The sequence below is a fragment of the Homo sapiens genome, chromosome 1, assembly GCF_000001405.40.
Source record: "Homo sapiens chromosome 1, GRCh38.p14 Primary Assembly".
Taxonomy (NCBI): Eukaryota; Metazoa; Chordata; class Mammalia; order Primates; family Hominidae; genus Homo; species Homo sapiens.
Genome location: NC_000001.11, coordinates 31,120,522 through 31,141,536, shown reverse-complemented (window position 1 = coordinate 31,141,536; position 21,015 = coordinate 31,120,522). Strand labels below are relative to the sequence as shown.

At 47.1% G+C, this 21,015-nt stretch overlaps 1 annotated feature.

Moving 5' to 3' along the window:
- Positions 18,850-19,351: an enhancer, noted in NCBI's record as "H3K4me1 hESC enhancer chr1:31595033-31595534 (GRCh37/hg19 assembly coordinates)". NCBI's record gives its function as "activates a minimal SCP1, AML or CMV promoter by ChIP-STARR-seq in naive H9 embryonic stem cells {active_cell/tissue: H9 hESC(naive)}" and the evidence as "EXISTENCE:reporter gene assay evidence [ECO:0000049][PMID:30033119]".

Sequence of the window (21,015 nt, the reverse complement as noted above, 5' to 3'; positions counted from 1 at the left end):
GGCGACAAGAGCTAAACTCTGTCTCAAAAAAAAAAAAAAAAAAAAAAAGCCAGAAAACAAAAAAAGCCCTCACCAAGGAACTGAACCAGCATGAGAATGCCATTTCCACATCTCCCTGTCCTATCACTTCACCCTGCACTCTTTGACCAGTGATCTGTACACTTCGGCCCACTCCAAAACCTTTAAATACCCTAGCCCCAAACTCATCAGGGAGACCGATGTGAGGTCTCCTCTCCTCTCCTCCTTTGATAGTCTTGTGATTAAACCTCTTTCTCTGCTGCAACCTGGTGTCTTGGCATATTGACTTGCTGTATGCATTGGGCAATGGCACTATTAGAGTTACAATTCTAATAAACGAAATCATAGGCTGGGCGCGGTGGCTCACCCCTATAATCTCAGCACATTAGGAGGCTGAGGTGGGCAGATCACTTGAGGCCAGGAGTTCAAGACCAGCCTGGTCAACACGGCAAAACCCCGTCTCTACTAAAAATACGGAAATTAGTCGGTTGTGGTTGTGTAAGCCTGTAATCCCAGCTACATGGGAGGCTGAGGCAAGAGAATAGCTTGAACCTGGGAGGCAGAGGTTGTAATGAGCCAAGATCATGCCACTGCACTCCAGTCTGAATGACAGAGCAAAATCCTGTTTCTCTCTTGTTGCCCAGGCTGGAGTGCAATGGTGCGATCTCGGCTCACCTCAACCTCCGCCTCCTGGGTTCAGGTGATACCCCTGCTTCAGCCTCCCGAGTAGCTGGGATTACAGGCATGTGCCACCACACCCAACTAATTTTGTATTTTTAGTAGAGACAGGGTTTCTCCATGTTGGTCAGGTTGGTCTTGAACTCCGGACGTCAGGTGATCTACCTGCCTCGGCCTGCCAAAGTGCTGGGATTAAAGATGTGAGCCACCGCGCCCGGCCTAAAAAAAAATTCTAATTAATGAAATCATTATCCATGCAGCTATGTGTTTCACTATTTCTCCCCCACTGGAGTGTGTGTGCCAAAAGGGGAAGGCCCTCTTCAGTCTTGTTCATCCATATACATAATGACTTGCACAGTTACAAGCAAGGAAGAGAGGCTCAATAAATGGTTGCTACGTGAATGAAAGGAAGGACTGGAAAACTGTTAGCTTCTCTCTGTCTCCCTCTCTCTGAGGCAATGCTGTCTTTTGTCTCTCCTTTGCCCTTGGGCCTTCTGGATTCTTCTCTCTGTCTATATCTATCTATCTATCTATATATCTACAGATAGATATATAGTTTTGTTTTTTTTTTTTTAGATGGAGTCTCGCTCTGTCTCCCAGGCCAGAGTGCAATGGTGTGATCTTGGCTCACTGCAACCTCCGCCTCCCGGGTTCAAACAATTCTCCTGCCTCAGCCTCCTGAGTAGCTGGGACTACAGGCGCCCGCCACCCCGCCAGGCTAATTTTTTTGTGTTTTTTTTCTCGTAGAGATGGGGTTTCACCATGTTAGCCAGGGTGGTCTCGATCTGACCTCGTGATCCGCCCACTTCGGCCTCCCAAAGTGCTGGGATTACAGGCGTGAGCCACCACACCCGGCTCTGTCTATATTTTTAAATCATGTTTCTTTGTCTGTTTTGTTTTTTGTTTTGTTTTGTTTTGTTTTGTTTTGTTTTTGAGACTGAGTCTTGCTCTGTTGCCCAGGCTGGAGTGCAGTGGCGCAATCTCGGCTCACTGCAACCTCCGCCTCCTGGGTTCAAGCAATTCTCCTGCCTCAACCTCCTGAGTAGCTGGGATTACAGGCACGTGCCACCATGCCTGGCTAATTTTTTTGTATTTTTAGTAGAGACGGGGTTTCCCCATGTTGGCCAGGCTGGTCTCAAACTCCTGGCCTTGTGATCTGCCTGCCTCGGCCTCCCAAAGTGCTGGGATTACAGGCGTAAGCCACCAAGTCCAGCTGTAAATCATGTTTTTAATTAAAAAGAACTTTTGTGCTGGGCGCGGTGGCTCACGCCTGTAATCCTAGCACTTTGGGAGGCCAAAGTAGGTGGATCACCTGAGGTTGGGAGTTCGAGACCAGCCTGACCAACATGGAGAAACTCCATCTCTACTAAAAATACAAAATTAGCCAGCAAGGGGGCGCATGCCTGTAATCTCAGCTACTTGGGAGGCTGAGGCAAGAGAATCACTTGAACCTGGGAGGTGGAGGTTGTGGTGAGCTGAGATTGAGCCATTGCACTCCCGCTTGGGCAACAAGAGCGAAACTCTGTCTCAAAAAAAGTTTGGCTGGGTGTGGTAGCTTGCGCCTGTAATCCCAACACTTTGGAAGGCCAAGGCAGGAGGATCATTGAGTCTAGGAGTTTGAGACCAGTCTGGGCAACATGGCGAATCCTTGTCTCTACAAAAAATACAAAAATTAGCTGGGCATGGTGGTGTCAGAAGCATTTGAACCAGAGCAACTCCATCTTGAATAGGGGCTGGGTAAAATAAGGCAGAGACCAGGGCTGCATTCCTGGACAGTTAAGGCATTCCCGGACAGTTAAGTCACAGGGTGAGACAGGAGATCGGCACAAGATACAGGTCATAAAGACCTTGCTGATAAAACAGATTGCAGTAAAGAAGTTGGCTAAATCCCACGAAAACCAAGATGGCGACAAGAATGACCTCTGGTCGTCCTCACTGCTACACTCCCACCAGTGCCATGACAGTTTACAAATGCCATGGCAACAGCAGGAAGTTACCCGATATGGTCTAAAAAGGGGAGGCATGAGTGATCTATACCCATTACTTAGCATATAGAAATAAAAATAAACCATAAAAATGGGCATCTATCAACCCTCAGGGCTGCCTTGTCTATGGAGTAGCCATTTTTTATTCCTTTACTTTCTTAAATAAACTTGCTTTCAGCTGGGTGCGGTGGCTCCTGCCTGTAATCCCAGCACTTTGGGAGGCCGAGGCGGGGAATCACGAGGTCAAGAGATCAAGACTGTCCTGGCTAACACGGTGAAACCCCATCTCTACTAAAAATAAAAAAAATTAGCCAGGCGTGGTGGCACACGCCTGTAGTCTCAGCTACTCCGGAGGCTGAGGCAGGAAAATCACCTGAACCCATGAGTCAGAGGTTGCAGTGAGCCGCGATCATGCCACTGGCACTCCAGCCTGGGCAACAGAGCAAGACTTCTTCTCCAAAAAATAATAATAATAATAATAATAATAATAATAATAATAATAATAATAAACTTGCTTTCACTTTATTCTATGGGCTCTCCGCGTATTCTTTCTTGCACGAGATCCAAGAACCCTCACTTGCGGTCTGGATCAGGACCCTTTTCCAGTAACAGTGGCACAAGCCTATAGTCCCAGCTACTAGAGAGGATGAGGTGGGAGGATAACTTGAACCCAGGAGATCAAGGCTACAGTGAGCTATGATGAGGCCACTGCACTCCAGCCTGGGCAACAGAGTGAGATCCTGTCTTAAATAAAAACCTTAAACATTTATTTATTTTTTAAATTTAATTTATTATTATTATTATTATTATTATTATTATTATTATTATTATTTTGAGACAGGATCTTGCTCTGTTATCCAGGTTGGAGTACAGTGGCACAATCTCAGCTCACTGCAAACTCCCCCTCCCAGGTTCAAGCGATTCTCGTGCCTCAGCCTCCCAAGTAGCTGAGATTACAGGAGTACACCAACACACCCGGCTGATTTTTATATTTTTAGTAGAGACAGGGTTACTCCATGTTGGCCAGGCTGGTTTTGAACTCCTGGCTTCAAGTGATCCACCCACCTCGGCCTTCCAAAGTGCTGGGATTAAAGGTGTCAGCTGCCATACCCGGCCTATTATTGTTTTTTTATAAAGCCAGGTTTCTCCATGTTACCCAAGCTGGTCTTGAACTCCTCCTCTCAAGTGATCAGCCTCCTGAAGTTCTGGGATTATAGGCATGAGCCACCATGCCAGACCAAAAAAACCCGTTTTTTTTTGTTTTTGTTTTTTTTGGTTTTTATTTTGAGACGGAGTTTCCCTCTTATTGCCCAGGCTGGAGTACAATGGTGTGATCTCGGCTCACTGCAACTTCCGCCTCCTGGGTTCAAGTGATTCTCCTACCTCAGTCTCCTGGGTAGCTGGGACTACAAGTGGGCACCACCATGCCTGACTAATTTTTCTATTTTTAGTAGAAACGGGGTTTCACCATGTTGGCCAGGCTGGTCTCGAACTCCTGACCTTGTGATCCACCTGTCTCAGCCTCCCAAAGTGCTGGGATTACAGGCATGAGCCACTGTGCCCAGCCAAAAAAAACTTTTTTAGAGATGGGGGTCTCACTCAATTTCCCAGGCGGGAATGTAGAGGCTATTCACAGGTGTGATCATGGTATACTGGAACCTCAAACTCCTGACTTTAAGCAATCATCCTGAAATGGGATAGTTTCCTTGACCCCTTCACAGGACTTGGGAAGGGGTGGGCTCATTTACTCACCCCAAAGCTCTGAAACCCTCACAGGAGGGGGGACATGCAGGTGAGCAGGTGCAGGGTCCAGATGAGTGTTTTTGGGCACTGGCAGGAGCAGAACTCCATGTGTCCCTGCAGCAGTTTCTGGGGGGCAGGGTGGATACTCACAATCCCCAGAGCCCCAGAGGGCTTGTGTTACCTGTGTTCTTTTAGCTTTGCCATCCACGGATGGCTTAAGTGTTTTTGTTTTGTTTTGTTTGAGATACAGTCTCACTCTGTGGCCCAGGGTGGAGTTCAGTGGCATGATCTCAGCTCATTGCAATCTCCATCTTCTGGGTTCAAGCAATTCTTGTGCCTCAGCCTCCCAACAGAGCTGGGATTACAGGAATGTGCCACCAAGCCCAGCTGATTTTTGTAATTTTAATAGACATGGGGTTTCACCATGTTGGCCAGGCTGGTCTTGAACTCCTGGCTTCAAGCAATCCACCCGCCTCAGCCTCCCCAAATGCTGAGATTATAGGCATGAGCCACTGTGCCTGACTGACTTAAATGTTTAACAGCTCAGTGGAGGCTCAGGGTGACAGTCTTTTGCACCCACCCTCTTGGTACCTGAGTTCTTGTCCAGCATCCAGGAAGAATCAGGTCACATGAATGAATTGAAGGGTGGTGAATGTGGAGGATTTTATTGAGCAGTGGAAGTGGCTCTCAGCGGGATGGGGAGCAGGAAAGGGGATGGAGTGGGAAGGTGGCCAAAGTCCCACTGTCAAGCCATCCTGCTGAAGTCAAGCTGCTTCTCTTTAAGGGTCTGGCTGCTTCTTCTCTTCTCTCCTTCTCTGCCACTCCACTCTTCCACTCAGCTGCTCTGCTGCTCTGCTGCCCCTCTGCCATTGGAGCCTGGGGTTTTTATGGGTACAGGATGGGGGGTGGGGCAGGCCAAAAACAACATATGAACAGGAAAACAGGAATGCATATTCTCACTTTGGGCCGCTGTCCCAGGCTTGAGGGTGTGGCCCTCACAGGGGACTGCCCTCTTCTACCCAGTATTTCCCTGCCTCCTGTCCATTTCAATCCTGTCTCAGCCTCCCAAGTAGCTAGGGGTATAGGAACAATTCCCAAGCTGGGCTCTCTTCTCTCTATAGACCAACTTACAACACTCAAAGTTAGTTGCTGCTCTCCCAACACTTTGGCCTCCCTGAGGTTCGGGCTTGCCCCTGGGCCCACCGTGGTCCTGACTGTATATGAGGGCCTTTCTGCTCTAGAGCCAGCTGCCAACTGACCACACCCTTTGGGTCTCTTTGCTTACATTCTTAGAAAAGACTGGGCATGGTGGCTCACGCCTGTTATCCAAACACTTTGGGAGGCCGAGGCAGGTGGATCACCTGAGATCCGGAGTTTGAGACCAGCCTGGCCAACATGGCTAAACCTCATCTCTACTAAAAATACAAAAATTAGCCAGGCATGGTGGCACGTGCCTGTAATCCCAGCTTCTTGGGAGGCTGGGGCCGGAGAATTGCTTGAACCTGGGAGGCAGAGGTTGCAGTGAGCCGAGATCGCATCACTGCACTCCAGCCTGGGCAACAGAGTGCGACTCTGTCTCAAAAGAAAAAAAAATTACTGGAAAAGAGTCTCCATCACCTCAATCCAACAAAAGGATTAGTTTCCCTTGGGCAAGGAATCCACCCTGGCCATTTCTCTCTGGCAAGGATAATAACACGAAAGAGTGAGGGAACCGGGCTAGGTCAAGCCAGGAGGGGAAATTGAATGTGGCCAGAATCTGACTGGCATTTTTGCCACAAATGTAAAAGGAACCAATATATAGTATTTTTTTTCTTTTTTCTTTTTTTGAGATGGAGTCTCGCTCTGTTGCCCAGGCTGTAGTGCAGTGGCACAGTCTCGGCTCACTGCAACCTCTGCCTCCTGGGTTCAAGTGATTCTCCTGTCTCGGCCTCCCAAGTAGCTGGGATTACAGGCGCCTGCCACCATGCCTGGCTAATTTTTTTTTGTTGTTTTTGAGACGGAGTCTCACTGTGTCACCCAGGCTGGAATGCAGTGGCATGATCTTAGCTCACTGCAACCTCCCAGGTTCAAGCGATTCTCCTGCCTCTGCCTCCCAAGTAGCTGGCATTACAGGCACATGACACCAAGCCTGGCTAATTTTGTACTTTTAGTAGAGACATGGTTTCGCCATGTTGGCCAGGCTGGTCTCGAACTCCTGACCTCAGGTGATCCACCTGCCTCGGCCTCCCAAAGTGCTGGGATTACAGGCATGAGCCACTGCGCCCAGCCATACTTTTTTTTTCTGGTTTAAAAAAGTTGAAGCTGGCCATAGTAGTGTGTGCCTGTAATCCCAGCTAGTTGGGAGGCTGAGGTGGGAGGATCACTTGAGCCCACAAGTTAGAGGTTTCAGTGAACCATGATTAGGCCACCGCACCTAAGCCTGGGCAACAGTGCAAGACCCCATCTCTAAAAATAATAAATAAATAGATAGGTAGATACATTTTAAGTCGCGTCTTCACACCCGTAGAACCATTTTAAGGTATCTGTCCAGCCCTGATTCTCTGGGAACTAACCTCTCCCACAGTGAAGGGTGGGCATATGATCATAGCTGATTGGTCCAGGGGTGAACACCTAACTCAAGTTGGGCCAATAAGCATCTTTGTACTGAGAATTTGGAATTTACCATAAAGCTCCAGAACCAACTCAGTAATTTACTACCATATGCTCAGAAAGGCAAGAAAAAGAGAAAAAGCAGACTGCAAATATAAATATTTATTCATTAAATAAATATTCAATAAATACTTTTTTTTTTTTTTAGATAAGGTCTTGCTCTGTCACCCAGGATGCAGTGCAGTGGTATGATCCCAGGTCACTGCAACCTGTCTCCCAGGTTCAAGCAAGTCTCGTGCCTCAGCCTCCTGAGTAGCTGGGACCACAGGCATGCGCCACCAGGCCTGGCTAATTTTCATATTTTTAGTATAGATGCAGTTTCATCATGTTGGCCAGGCTGGTCTCAAACTCCCGACCTCAAGTGATCCGCCACCTTGGCCTCCCAAAGTGTTGGGATTACAGGAGTGAGCCATCGTGCCCGGCCTGAATAAATACATTTTGAAAATCAATGATGGGTCAGGCACTATTCTGTGTGTTGGGGACGCATCAGTGAACCATGAAAGTAAAAACCCCTGCCCAATGGAGGTGACATTTTGTTAGAGGAGAGACAATAAGCAAGATAAATTTAAAGAAAAATAAAAGTTAGATGATGATTTGAGCTAAGGAGAGGGGAAAAAATGCTGGGATGGAGGATAGGAAGTATCTGGGCAGGAGAAGGCAAGTATTGAAATGTTGGTTAAGGTGTTCAGAGAAGTCTTCACTGAGAAGGTGACATTTGGGCAAAGATCTGAAGGAACAGAGGAAGCAAGCCATATGGTCCTTGGGGAAAGAACAATCAAGGGAAAGGGAATAGCTAGAGCAGAGGCCCTTAAGTGGGAGAGTGCCTGAGGAGCATTGCGGTTGAAGAAAAGTGGGCAAAGGGGAGATGGTAGGAGATAAAGTCAGAAAACCCACAGAGGCTGGTTCTGCAGGGCTTTGTGGATAAGAAAGCCATTAGGAAGGTTTTTGTTTTTTTTTCTTTTTGCGGTGGCAGTCTTGCTCAGTCACCCACGCTGGGGTGCAGTGGTGCGATCTCGACTCCCTGCAACCTCTGCCTCCCAGGTTCAAGCGATTCTGCTGCCTCGGTCTCCCAAGTAGTTGGGATTATAGGGTACACGTCACCATGCCGAGCTAATTTTTGTATTTTTTTGTAGAGACAGGGTTTCATCATGTTGGCCAGGCTGGTCTCGGACTCCTGGACTCAAGTGATCTGCCCGCCTCGGCCTCCCAACATGCTGGAATTACAGATGTGAACTACCGCACCTGGTCTTTTTTTTTTTTTTTTTTAAGATGAGGTCTCCTGTCACCTAGGCTGGAGTGCGGTGGTGAGATCATAGCTCCCTGCGGCCTCAAACTTCTGGGCTCATGTGATCCTCTTGCCTTAGCCTCCTAGGTAGCTGGGACTACAGGTGTGCCCTATCATTCCTGTCTCCTTGGGAAGTTTTTTGTTTTTTTGTTTTTTTTTTCTCTGAGACAGAGTTTCACTCTTGTCGCCCAGGCTGGAGTGCAATGGCATGATCTCGGCTCACTGCAACCTCTGTCTCCTGGGTTCAAGCGATTCTCCTGCCTCAGCCTCCTGAGTAGCTGGGATTACATACATGCACCACCCACACCAGGCTAATTTTGTATTTTCAGTAGAGACTGGGTTTCTCCATGTTGGTCAGGCTGGTCTCCAACTCCCGACCTCAGGTGATCTGCCCACCTCAGCCTCCCAAAGTGCTGGGATTACAGGCGTGAGCCACTGCACCTGGCTGCATCTTTGCAATTTTTGATTAAGCACAACCAGTTTCTCAAAAAAAATTATTATTGTTATTATTATTATTTTTGAGATAGAGTCTCTCACTCTGTCACCCAGGCTACACTGCAGTGGAGCAATCTCGGCTCACTGCAACCTCCATCTCCTGGGTTCAAGAGATTCTTCTGCCTCTGCCTCTCGAGTAGCTGAGATTACAGGCGCTTGCCACCACTTCCAACTAATTTTTGTACTTTTAGTAGAGATGGGGTTTCATCATGTTCTCCAGGCTGGTCTCAAACTCCTGGTCTTTTTTTTTTTTTTTTTTGAGACAGAGTCTCACTCTGTCACCCAGGCTGGAGTGCAGTGGCGCAGCCTCGGCTCACTGCAACCTCCACCTCCCGGGTTCACGCCATTCTCCTGCCTCAGCCTCCTGAGTAGCTGGGACTACAGGTGCCCGCCACCACGCCCGGCTAATTTTTTGTATTTTTAGTAGAGACAGGGTATCACCGTGTTAGCCAGGATGGTCTCGATCTCCTGACCTCGTGATCCGCCCGCCTCAGCCTCCCAAAGTGCTGAGATTACAGACGTGAGCTACCACGCCTGGCCTTTTTTTTTTTTTTTTTTTTTTTTGAGACGGAGTCTTGCTCTGTCACTCAGGCTGGAGTGCAGTGGTGTGATCTCGGCTCACTGCAACCTCTGCCTCCCAGGTTCAAGTGATTCTCCTGCCCCAGCCTCCCGGGTAGCTGGGATTACAGATGTGTGCCACCATGCCTGGCTAATTTTTGTATTTTTAGTAGAGATAGGGTTTCACCATGTTGGCTAGGCTGGTGTTGAACTCCCAACCTCAGGTGATCTGCCCGCCTCGGCCTCCCAAAGTGCTGGGATTACAGGCATGAGCCACCTAGCATGGCTAATTTTTGTGTGTGTGTGTGTGACAGGATCTCACTCTGTCACCCAGGCTGGAGTGCAGTGGCACCAACTCAGGTCACTGTAGCCTCTGCCTCCTGGGCACAAGTGATTCTCCCACCTCATTATCCTCAGTAATTGGGACTACAGGTGTGCACCACCACGCCCAGCTAGTTTTTATATTTTTAGTAGAGACACTGTTTTGCCATGTTGCCCAGGCTGGTCTTGAACTCCTGAGTTCAGGTGATCCACCTGCCTCGGCCTCCTAAAAAATGCTGGGATTGTAGGCATGAGCCACTGTGCCCCACTGATTATGTTCTTTTTTAAAAAATTTACAGGCCGGGCGCGGCGGCTCACGCCTGTAATTTCAGCACTTTGGGAGGCTGAGGTGGCTGGATTACCTGAGGTTAGGAGTTTGAGACCAGCCTGTCCAACGTGGTGAAACCCCATCTCTACTAAAAATACAAAAATTAGCCAGGCATGGTGGCGTGTGCCTATAGTCACAGCTACTCGGGAGGCTGAGGTGGGAGAATTGCTTGAACCTGGGAGGCAGAGGTTGCAGTGAGCCGAGAAAGCGCCACTGCACTGCAGCCTGGGCGACAGAGTGAGACTCTGTCTCAAAAAAAATTTTTTTTTTAATTGGGCCGGGCATAGTGGCTGGGTTCAAGCAATTCTCTGAGTTCAAGTTCTCTGGGGTCAAAGAAGTTTGTTCTTTGTTTTGCATGTAGAGATGCTTTTAAAAAGCTAAAAAACGCCGGGCACGGTGGCTCACATCTGTAATCTAAGCACTTTGGGAGGCCGAGGCAGGCAGATCACCTGAGGTCAGGAGTTTGACACCAGCCTGGCCAACATGGTGAAACCTGTCTCTATTAAAAATACGAAATTATCTGGGCGTGGTGGCAGGCACCTGTGATCCCAGCTACTCGGGAGGCTGAGGCAGGAGAATTGCTTGAACCCAGGAGGCGGAGGTTGCAGTGAGCCGAGATTGTGCCACTGCACTCCAGCCTGTCAAAAAAAAAAAAAAAAAAAACTAAAACAGTTTTCTGTGTAAAATCATGTTTGACACACATATAAAACAGGTATTGAAATAAAAATGACAATAGCAATGAAAATTAGAAGAGTTGGAGTTATGTTACAGGAAGATCACAGAAAATAATGCAAAACAACATCGACAGAAAATAGGGCCAGGTATAGTGGCTCACACGTGTAATCCCAGCACTTTAGGAGGCCAAGATAGACTGATTGTTTGAGTCCCTAAGTTCAAGACCAGCTTCGCAGCATGGTGAAACTCTGTCTCTACAAAAAGTACAAAAATTAGCTGGGCATGGTGGCATGTGTCTATAGTTCCAGCTACTTGGGAGGCTGAGGCAGGAGAATCGCTTGAACCTGGGAGGTGGTGGTTGCAGTGAGCAGAGATCATGGCACTGTGCTCCAGCCTGGGTGACAAAACGAGACCATGTCTCAATAAATAAATAAATAAATAAAATAGGGCAGAAATGAGAAAATCAGAGGGCCTGTCTAGGAAGTGTAATATTTCAGTTTCAAGAGTTCCAGAAAAAGCAGAGGAAACAGAGGGAAGGAAATCCTCAAAGAAAACTCAAGAAGTTTAAAGAACATTGGTTTCCATAGGATCTACTAAGTTCCTAGAAAATTGGATGAAAATCGGTTCATGCCAAGGTAACCTGGCAAAAATTTCAGAACAAAGAGACAAAAAGAAGATGTTACAAGATTACAGAGAGAAAAACAAGTTTTCCAATCCTGTGTACAGAAGAAAATATGCTGATGTAAACTGCACAAGCATGCACACACAGAATCTGGCCATTGATGTTAAATCTTTGTAAACAAAAGACACCCATTCTGTTACTAGACAAAAAACAGTATGGGCAAGAATTTTTTTTTTTTTTTTTTTTTTTTTTTTGGATGTAAGTGAAGTTACAGTGAATTCTATTGTTTTATCTGCCCAGAAACTACACCTCACTCTTCTGGGGAATGTTCCTATCCTCCTTTCCCCGACATACACCATGTGTTCCAAATGGGTGCCCCCAAGTCTTACAGGCCCCACCTCCCTGGCCATGTTACGTCAAAGTGTATTTAACCCCAAGATTGCTTAAACCTGGAGCTAGAGAGAATGACTCTGACTTCCAGTTCAGTGGTGAAGATGGGAGACTCTATGGCCACTGGCCACCATGACTCCAGCGTAGGTTTGGAACAATAGAGTTCAGGTGGAAAGAAGCAGAGATGAGAGACTGGGCAGCGTCTGAGACCCTGGATCTAGCCATCCCTGAACCCTTGCAACCTGGACCCTTGCACTTTCCATGGTGATGCCAGTCTTCCAAAAGAAAACAAAATAAAAACCATTTGTCTGATCTGGGTTTCTGTCACTTGAAACAAGTCATGGCTGATACAGAAATGTGAGAAGGCAACTACTCTTGCTTGTATCAAAACTAATTATAACGAACATACTGAGAATTAGGATGCACCAGGCGCTGTCTGAGCACTTTTGTCTCATGTACTCTGAACTGAAAAGAAACTGAGGAGGCTGGGCGCGGTGGCTCACGCCTGTAATCCCAGCAGTTTGGGAGGCCGAGGCGGGTGGATCACGAGGTCAGGAGTTCTCGACCAGCCTGGCCAACATAGTGAAATCCCGTGTCTACTAAAATTACAAAAATTAGCCGGGCATGGTGGCACATGCTTGTAGTCCCAGCTACTGGGGAGGCTGAGGTAGGAGAATAGCTTGAACCTGGGAGGCGGAGGTTGTGGTGAGCCGAGATTGTGCCACTGCACTCCAGCCGGGGCAACAGAGCGAGACTCCATCTCAAAAAAAAAAAAAAAAGAAAAGAAACAGGACAGAGCAGGTGGGTCACTCATTCATAGTCTGGGGTTTAAGCTCAAGTACATAAAAGACCATCAGAGACCTCCCCTCACTGGGACACTCGCCTCCTGCTCACATCTACTTCACCTACTCCCCCCAGGCCACATCCAGCCCTGCCACTTTGCTCATGAGTTATCTTCTGTGAGACGGTCCTTTCTTCCAGCTCCGGCAAAATCCTATTTGCCCTTCAAGGCCCACTCAAATGTCTCCTGCCCTGCTCCTCTCTAGGCCCCTCATCCACAAATGCAAGTTAAAACCTCGTCTCCTCTGTGTCCTCACTGCATTTGCAAAATATGAAATTGAGAGCGGGCTGGGTGCGGTGGTTCACGCCTGTAATCCCAGAATTTTGGGAGGCTGAGGCAGGCAAATCACCTGAGGTCAGGAGTTTGAGACCAGCCTGGCCAACATGGCAAAACCCCATCTCTACCATAAATACAAAAATTAGCCAGGTGTGCTAATCCCAGCTACTTGGGAGGCTGAGGCAGGAGAATCGCTTGTACTCAGGAGACAGGTTTCAGTGAGCTGAGATCACGCCACTGTACTCCAGCCTGGGAGACAGAGCAAGACTCCCTCTCAAAAATTAATTAATTAATTAAGAGCACAGCTCTGATTTATTTATTTATTTATTTATTTATTTATTTATTTATTTATTTGAAACAGGGTCTCACTCTGTCACCCAGGCTGGAGTGCAGTGGTGTGATCACAGCTCACTGCAGCCTCGATTTCCCGGACTCAAGAGATCCTCTCACCTCAGCCTTCTGAGAAGCTGGGACCACAAGCATGTACCACCATGCCAGGCTGATTTTTGTATTTTTGGTATAAACTGGGTTTCACCATGTTGCCCAGGCTGGTTTCCAACTTCTGGGGTATATCATCCACCTACTTTGGCCTCCCAAAGAGCTGGGATTATAGGCATGAGCCATCACACCTGGCCACCTTACTTTTTCTAAGCCTCAGATTCTCTTTTTTTTTTTGGCACAGGGGATGGAGTTTCACTCTTGTCACCCAGGCTGGAGTGCAATGGTACAATCTTGGCTCACTGCAACCTCTGCCTCCCAGGTTCAAGCAATTCTCCTGTCTCAGCCTCCCAAGTAGCTGGGACTACAGGCATGTGCCACCATGCCTGGCTAATTTTTGTATTTTTAAAAGAGACGGGTTTTCACCATGTTGGCCAGGCCGGTCTCAAACTCCTGACCTCAAGTGATCTGCCTGCCTTGGCCTCCCAAAGTGCGCCCAGCCTCAGATTCTTTATAATGTGGAAATAATGATAGCCCAGCCTTGTAGGATTGCCATGAAGTTTAGATCAGCTACTGTTTGTTAGGCACATAGCGTATCATCAACACGGGCTGGTGGTGCCAGCAATTGATATCTCCGTCTATATTGGGAGTTTTCCCAGTATATTTTTCTGGGGCTTTGTCTCCTCCCCTAGGCTCTGGCTCTTTGAGGGCAGATACCCTATGTGATGATTCAAGTGGCTGCTCGCTTAAGACGTCTCCCCCTGGCTTCCAAGTGATTAGCTTTCCAGTTAGGAATTCAACATTTGAGTCTGGTTAGGTTATTTTAAAAATAGTTCCTGACTGCATGTGAGACGCACCGATCCAGTCTCCTTATAAAAAATGTATGCATTACAGCTAAGGCAAAGATCTCCTATGAGCATCAAACCAATCCCAACCCTTTTAGAGGCTACCACAGCTATCAGTTTGATGTGTTTGATGACTTATTTTTATTGAAGCTACTCAGTATTTAGGTACTTTTAATCTGAAGGCTCATGTCTTTCTTCTATTCTGGAAAAATCCTCAGATCTTATTTCTTAAAGTATTTGCCATCCACCCCATTCTCAACTCCTGGACTGTATGTTAGATGCTCTCAGAATGGCCTCCCTATTTCTTATTTTCTCCCTCTTTTCCTTTTCCTTCCCTTTTCCTTCTGGGTCAATTTCTTAGTACTACATTTTTTCCTGCAATTTTACTATTATCATTATTATTATTATTTTGAGATGGAGTTCCACTCTTGTCATCCAGGCTGGAGTGCAATGGCACGATCTCGGCTTACTGCAACCTCTGTCTCCCAGGTTCAAGCGATTCTCCTGCCTCAGCCCCCTGAGTAGCTGGGATTACAGGCACCTGCCACCATGCTGGCTAATTTTTATATTTTTAGTGGAGATGGGGTTTCACCATATTGGCCAGGCTAGTCTCAAACTCCTGACCTCACATGATCTGCCCGCCTTGGCCTCCCAAAGTGCTGGGATTACAGGTGTGAGCCACCGTGCCTGGCCACAATTTAATTATATTATAATAAAGCAATAAAGAATGTTTCAGAGCCTAGTGATGGATCATTTAGTCTAACATCTCATAACAACTTTGAAAAGCACAAGATATCAAATTTTTTTGTTTTGTTTTGTTTTGTTTTTGAGACAAAGTTTCACTCTTGTTGTCTAGGCTGGAGTGCAGTGGCACGATCTTGGCTCACTGCAACCTCCGCCTCCTCGGTTCAAGTGATTCTCCTGCCTCAGCCCCCCAAGTAGCTGGGATTACAGGCATGCGCCACCATGCCTGGCTAATTTTGTATTTTCTGTAGAGATGAGATTTCACCATGTTGGCCAGGCTGGTCTCGAACTCCTGACCTCAGGTAATCCACCTGCCTCAGCCTCCCAAAGTGCTAGGATTACAGGCGTGAGCCACTGCACCCGGCTGATATCAATGTTAAAATTGTGGCATATAGAAAGTTTAATAAAGAAGGAAATGTGGAGAGTAAAATGTAGTTGTAATCCTATTAAAGGCCTTGTCCATTTTCTTTTTTCGTCTGCCAAGAACAAGCAGAGAGTCTTGTCCGTGATGAAAGACTGACAGTGTATTAAAATGTTTAAAGTATTAGGAGGTGGAACACACTTTCAAAGGCAGTTAATAACATTCGCCATATGAACAGTCATTTGATTTAGCACAATAATCTCAGCGTGAAATGTGTAATTTTGCACATAACTGAGTGGCCCCTCCATCTCTGCTACACAGCTCACAGCTCCCTAACCTATCCCGCCCCAAGTCTGACCATCATAAATGCACATCCTCTTTACCTCACTCAGGAATCCAAGTCCCATAATGATTACAGAATGGCTGCTCAGATTATACTCAATAGCCCTGAGATGGGAGAGCCTGAAAGCTAGCCAGTTTCAACGACTTTCACCAGGAACAAAGAACTTAATGATCATTCTCCAGCAAACTAACTTATTTTCCAATACCTCCTTAACCTGGGACCTAACTACGTGTGGTCTCTTTGTTGCTATTCTTGTTTACTAATTATGAGTGCAAGAGATATTTTAATCCAGATATGCTCAATGTATTTCTATTTCCTAATGACAAAGAAGGCTTGATGTGCACAGTGCGATGGGTTATCTTTTGTTCCTTTTACTGTGCTCTGATTTGTTACCCATTAAGGCATATTTGGGCAGAAAAAAGAAAAACTGGGAAGTGGATTGCAACACACACATTTCTTTCTTTTTTTTTTTTTTTTTGAGACGGAGTCTCGCTCTATCACACAGGCTGGAGTGCAGCGGCATGATCTCAGCTCACTGCAACCTCCGCCTCACAGGTTCAAGTGATTGTCCTGCCTCAGCCTCCTGAATAGCTGGGATTACAGGTGCCCGCCACCTCGGCCGGCTAATTTTTGTATTTTTAGTAGAGACGGGGTTTTGCCATGTTGGCCAGGCTGGTCTTAAACCCCTGACCTCAGGTGATCCGCCCACCTCGGCCTCCCGAAGTGCTGGAGTGAGCGAGCCACCGCACCCTGCCAACACACACATTTCTTTTTTCTTTTCTTTTCTTTTCTTTTCTTTTTTTTTTTTTTGAGATGGAGTCTCGCTCTGTCGCCCAGGCTGGAGTGCAGTAGTGGCACAATCTCAGCTCACCGCAACCTCTGCCTCCCAGTTCAAGCGATTCTCCTGCCTCAGCCTCCCGAAAGCTGGGATTACAGATGTGTGCCACCACACCCAGCTAATTTTTGTATTTTTAGTAGAGATGGTGTTTCATCATGCTGTCCAGGTTGGTCTCGAACTCCTGATCTCAGGTAATCCGCCTGCCTCTGCCTCCCAAAGCACTGGGATTACAGGTGTGAGCCACCGCGCCTGGCCAACACACAAATTCCTTAAACTGAGAAACCTCTGAAAACATGTGATCTAATTCAGCTTTTCCCTAGAAAAAAATTAAAGAGGCTGGGTGTGGTGGCTCATACCTGTAATCCTAGCACTTTGGGAGGCTGAGGCAGGCAGATCACTTGAGCCCAGGAGTTCAAGACCAGCCTGGGCAATGTGGCAAAACCCCATTTCTTAAAAAAATACAAACATTAGCCAGGCGTGGTGGCACACACCTGTAGTCCCAGCTACTCAGGAGGCTGAGGTGAGAGGATCACCTGAGCCCAGAAGGTCGTGGTTGCAGTAAGCTGAAATCGTGCCACTGTCTCCAGCCTGGGTGACAGTGAAATCTTTTCTCAAAAATAAAAAAGAAAAAAAAAATTAGGGCCGGGCGCTGTGGCTCACGCCTGTAATCCCAGCACTTTAGGAGGCCGAGGCGGGTGGATCACAAGGTCAGGAGATCGAGACCATCTTGGCTAACACGGTGAAACCCCGTCTCTACTAAAAATACAAAAAATTAGCCGGGCGCGGTAGCGGGCGCCTGTAATCCCAGCTACTCGGGAGGCTAAGGCAGGAGAATGGTGTGAACCCGGGAGGCGGAGCTTGCAGTGAGCCGAGATAGCGCCACTGCAGTTCCACCTGGGCGAAAGAGCCAGACTGTCTGAAAAAAAAAAAAAAAAAAAAAAGCAAATTTGGTGCTTGTTCAAGCACTCTTATCATGGTGTCAAATTCTAGCATAAATTATAACACTCAAAACATACGTACTTTTAAAAGAAAAATAAAAGCAAGCCATTTAAAAATAATATTTTTGGTCAGGCATGGTGGCTTGTCCCTGTAATCCCGGCACTTTCGGAGGCCAAGGTGAACGGATTGCTTGAGTCAGGAGTTCGAGACCAACCTGGGCAACACAGGGAGATTCCATCTCTACAAAAAAATTTAAAAAATTAATCAGGCTTGATGGCACACACCTATAATTCCAGCTACTTGGGAGGCTGAGGTGAGAGGATCCCTTGAGCCCAAGAGTTAAGAGGCTGCAGTGAGCTATGATCGCACCACTGCACTTCAGCCTGGATGATAGCACAAGACCCTGTCTCAAAAAATGAAATAAAACATAAAAACCAAAAAAAAATTTTTTTTTCTAAATGTCACTTGATGGTTTTTTGTTTTTGTTTTTGTTTTTTGAGACAGAGTTTCGCTCTGTCACCCAGGCTAAAGCGCAGTGGTGCGATCTCGGCTCACTGCAACCTCTGCCTCCCGGTTCAAGTAATTCTCCTGCCTCAGCCTCCGGAGTAGCTGGGATTACAAGTGTGCACCACCACACCGGGCTAACTTTTTTCTTCTTTCTTTTTTTTTGTATTTTTAGTAGAGACAGGGTTTCACCATGTTGTCCCGGCTGGTCTCGAACTCCTGACCTCATGCTATCTGCCTGCCTTGGCCTCCCAAAGTGTTGGAATTACAGGCGTGAGCCACTGTGCCCAGCCTAAAAACTAAATCTTACTATTGGGCTATTTTGCACATCTTTTGGTATCCAGATCAAAATTAGTGGAAGTGAAATGGAAATATAATCTAAAAGTATTTCTGTCTGCTAGATTCTTAGGCCCAGAATCTGAATGGCAGGGAAAGGAGGTTCTGCTCATCTTACTAATTATCCCTTTTTTATCTGGAAGTAACTGCTGCTTTCTGGCTGGTTTATTTGTGCCACTTTCTTTTTCTTTGTAGGAAATGGTGTAAATGGGGGTAGATCTTCTTGGTTTATGTTCAGGAGAATGTTTCTGACCTTTTTTTTCCTATTAATATTGCAAAACAGCGTTCCTCGGGGCTTCCCAAGCTTTGGTCTCTTGGCAACAGACTTCGGTCAGAGCACAGTTACCAATAGGCTGTGGAGGGTCGAATTCAGCACGACACACACAGCACTGGCTCCAGGGATCCAGGGAGTGGGAATGCTGTGCTTAGCAGTCTTCGAAGGCAGGCTGGGGTTGAATATTGTGCCTGTCAGATAAACCTCATCCATTAGCCGCTCTAGTAGGTGCGGCTTTTCAGCTGCATCACATTGTGGAGCATCCCATGGACAATGGAAGGCTTTTTTTTTGTTTTTTTGCTCTTTTGTTTTGAGACAGGGTCTCTGTTAACCAGGCTGGAGTGCAGTGGTGCAATCACAGCTCACTGCAGCCTTGACCTCCTGGGCTCAAGTGATCCTCCTGTTTCCTCCTGGGACTACAAGCACACAACACCATGCCTGGCTAATTTTAAATTTTTCATAGAGATGGGGTCTCGCTATGTTGCCCAAGTTGGCCTCCAATTCCTGGGCTCAAGAGGTCCTCCCACCTCAGCCTCCCAAAGTTGCTGGGATTACAGGCATGAGCCACCATACCCACCCAACAATGAACATCTCCACTGAACACCGACGTCTAGTTCCTTCAGCACGTGGTCTTGGAGCAGTTGCCTGCTGGAGACACATTTTAGCTGGAGTGCGATGATGCTGGACAACAGAGTGTACTTGCCAGAGCCTAGGGCCCCCAGGCTCACTGTGATCAGCAGCTGCTTAGAGACATCTGTGCTGGAGAGAAAATCAGGCTGCCTCCAGGCAGACCGGGAGGAGAGTTTTGGCCTGCCTGGCCTGCTCACCCAGCTCTTTCTCATCTTCACTTGCTAATTTGCATGCCTTTTTTGGAGGGGGGATGGGCAGAGTTGGTAAGTCTTTTAACTCACTTGCACACTTACTTGTCATCTATAATCATGCTCCTCCACTTTTTAACATCTTTTAACAGGGGTATAATTTTCTTAGAATGAAATCCTTAGATTTTAAGTGGAGTTGGTTGAGTCTTGACAGAAGCATACACTTCTGTAACCCACACCGTTCTCAAGATAAAAACACCTCCACTGCCCTGGGAAGTCACTCCCTGCCCTTCTCTGTTCATCTCCCACACCCCCATCCCAGTACAATAAGCCACAGGAAGAGTTTGGTGTCCTGAATTTTTTCTGTTTTTTTTTGGTTAGTTTATTTTTATTTTTATTTCTTTTGAGACGGAGTCTCACTCTGTCCAGCAGGCTGGAGTGCACTGGCATGATCTCAGTTCACTGGAACCTCCATCTCCCAGGTTCAAGCAATTAATTCTTGTGCCTCAGCCTCCCGAGTAGCTGGGAGTACAGGCATGCACCATCACGCCTGGCCAGTTTTTGTATTTTAGTAGAGACAAGCTTTCACCTTGTTGCCCAGGCTGGTCTCGAACTCCTGACCTCCAACAATCCAGCCACCTTAGCCTCCCAAAGTGCTGAGATTACAGGCATGAGCTATTGTACCTGGCCACATTATGATTTTTTTTTTTTTTTTTGAGACAGAGTTCTGCTCAGTTGCCCAGGCTGGAGTGCAGTGGCATGATCTCAGCTCACTGCAACCTCCGCCTCCCAGGTTCAAGCAATTCTCCTGTCTCAGCCTCCCCGAGTATCTGGGATTACAGGTGCCTGCCCCCATGCCTAGCTAATTTTTTTTTTTTTTGTATTTTTAGTAGTGACAGGGTTTCACCACCTTGGCCAGGCTAGTGTCAAACTCCTGACCTCAAGTGATCTGCCCGCCTCGGCCTCCCAAATTGCTGGGATTACAGGCATGAGCCACTGTGCCCAGCCCGCATTATGATTTTTAATCTTTGTTTTATATTGTAAGCAATTGTTCATGGTAATACACAGAAGGAAGCCATATTGACTGACTGTCAAGTACTTTGTGAATATTATCTCATTTATTTCTCACAACAACTTTCTCAGGTATCATTATCCCAGTTTTACAGATGAGGCAGCTGAGACCCAGAAAGGTGGAGCTGCTTAGCTAGGCAGCATGGGCCTTATATGGTGGGGCTATTATTAGGAACCAAGCCTGTGCAATTCCCCAGTTCCTGCCCCCACCCTGTCCACACTGCCTCAATAAAAACCCTTATGAGTGACAGTCTTTGAAATACCAGGGTCCTGTGCAGGTGGGACACAGGCAAGACTTGATCTAGAAGGTGTCAGAACCCTGGGTCTGTACGTCCTTGGGAAGGGCCTTGAGTTGACCGTAATGTGCTGGAGTCTGCGCACCTCAGCTCCTGAGCGCTGACTGCTTAATTTTCAGGTTGATGTCAAGTTGGTAGCTTGAAATCGGCCACAGTGAAAGACTTCACACCAAGGAAATTGACACATGCTACAAACCAGGGCTGCCTTTGTACCCCAGAGAGCTGGTTGTTAAACACGTACCAGCACGCCACTGGGGATACGCACCATGCTGACTATGGTTTTCTGAGTGGAATCATCCACAATCTGATAAGCCTTCCTACATGGTTGAGTGAAATGGCACAGG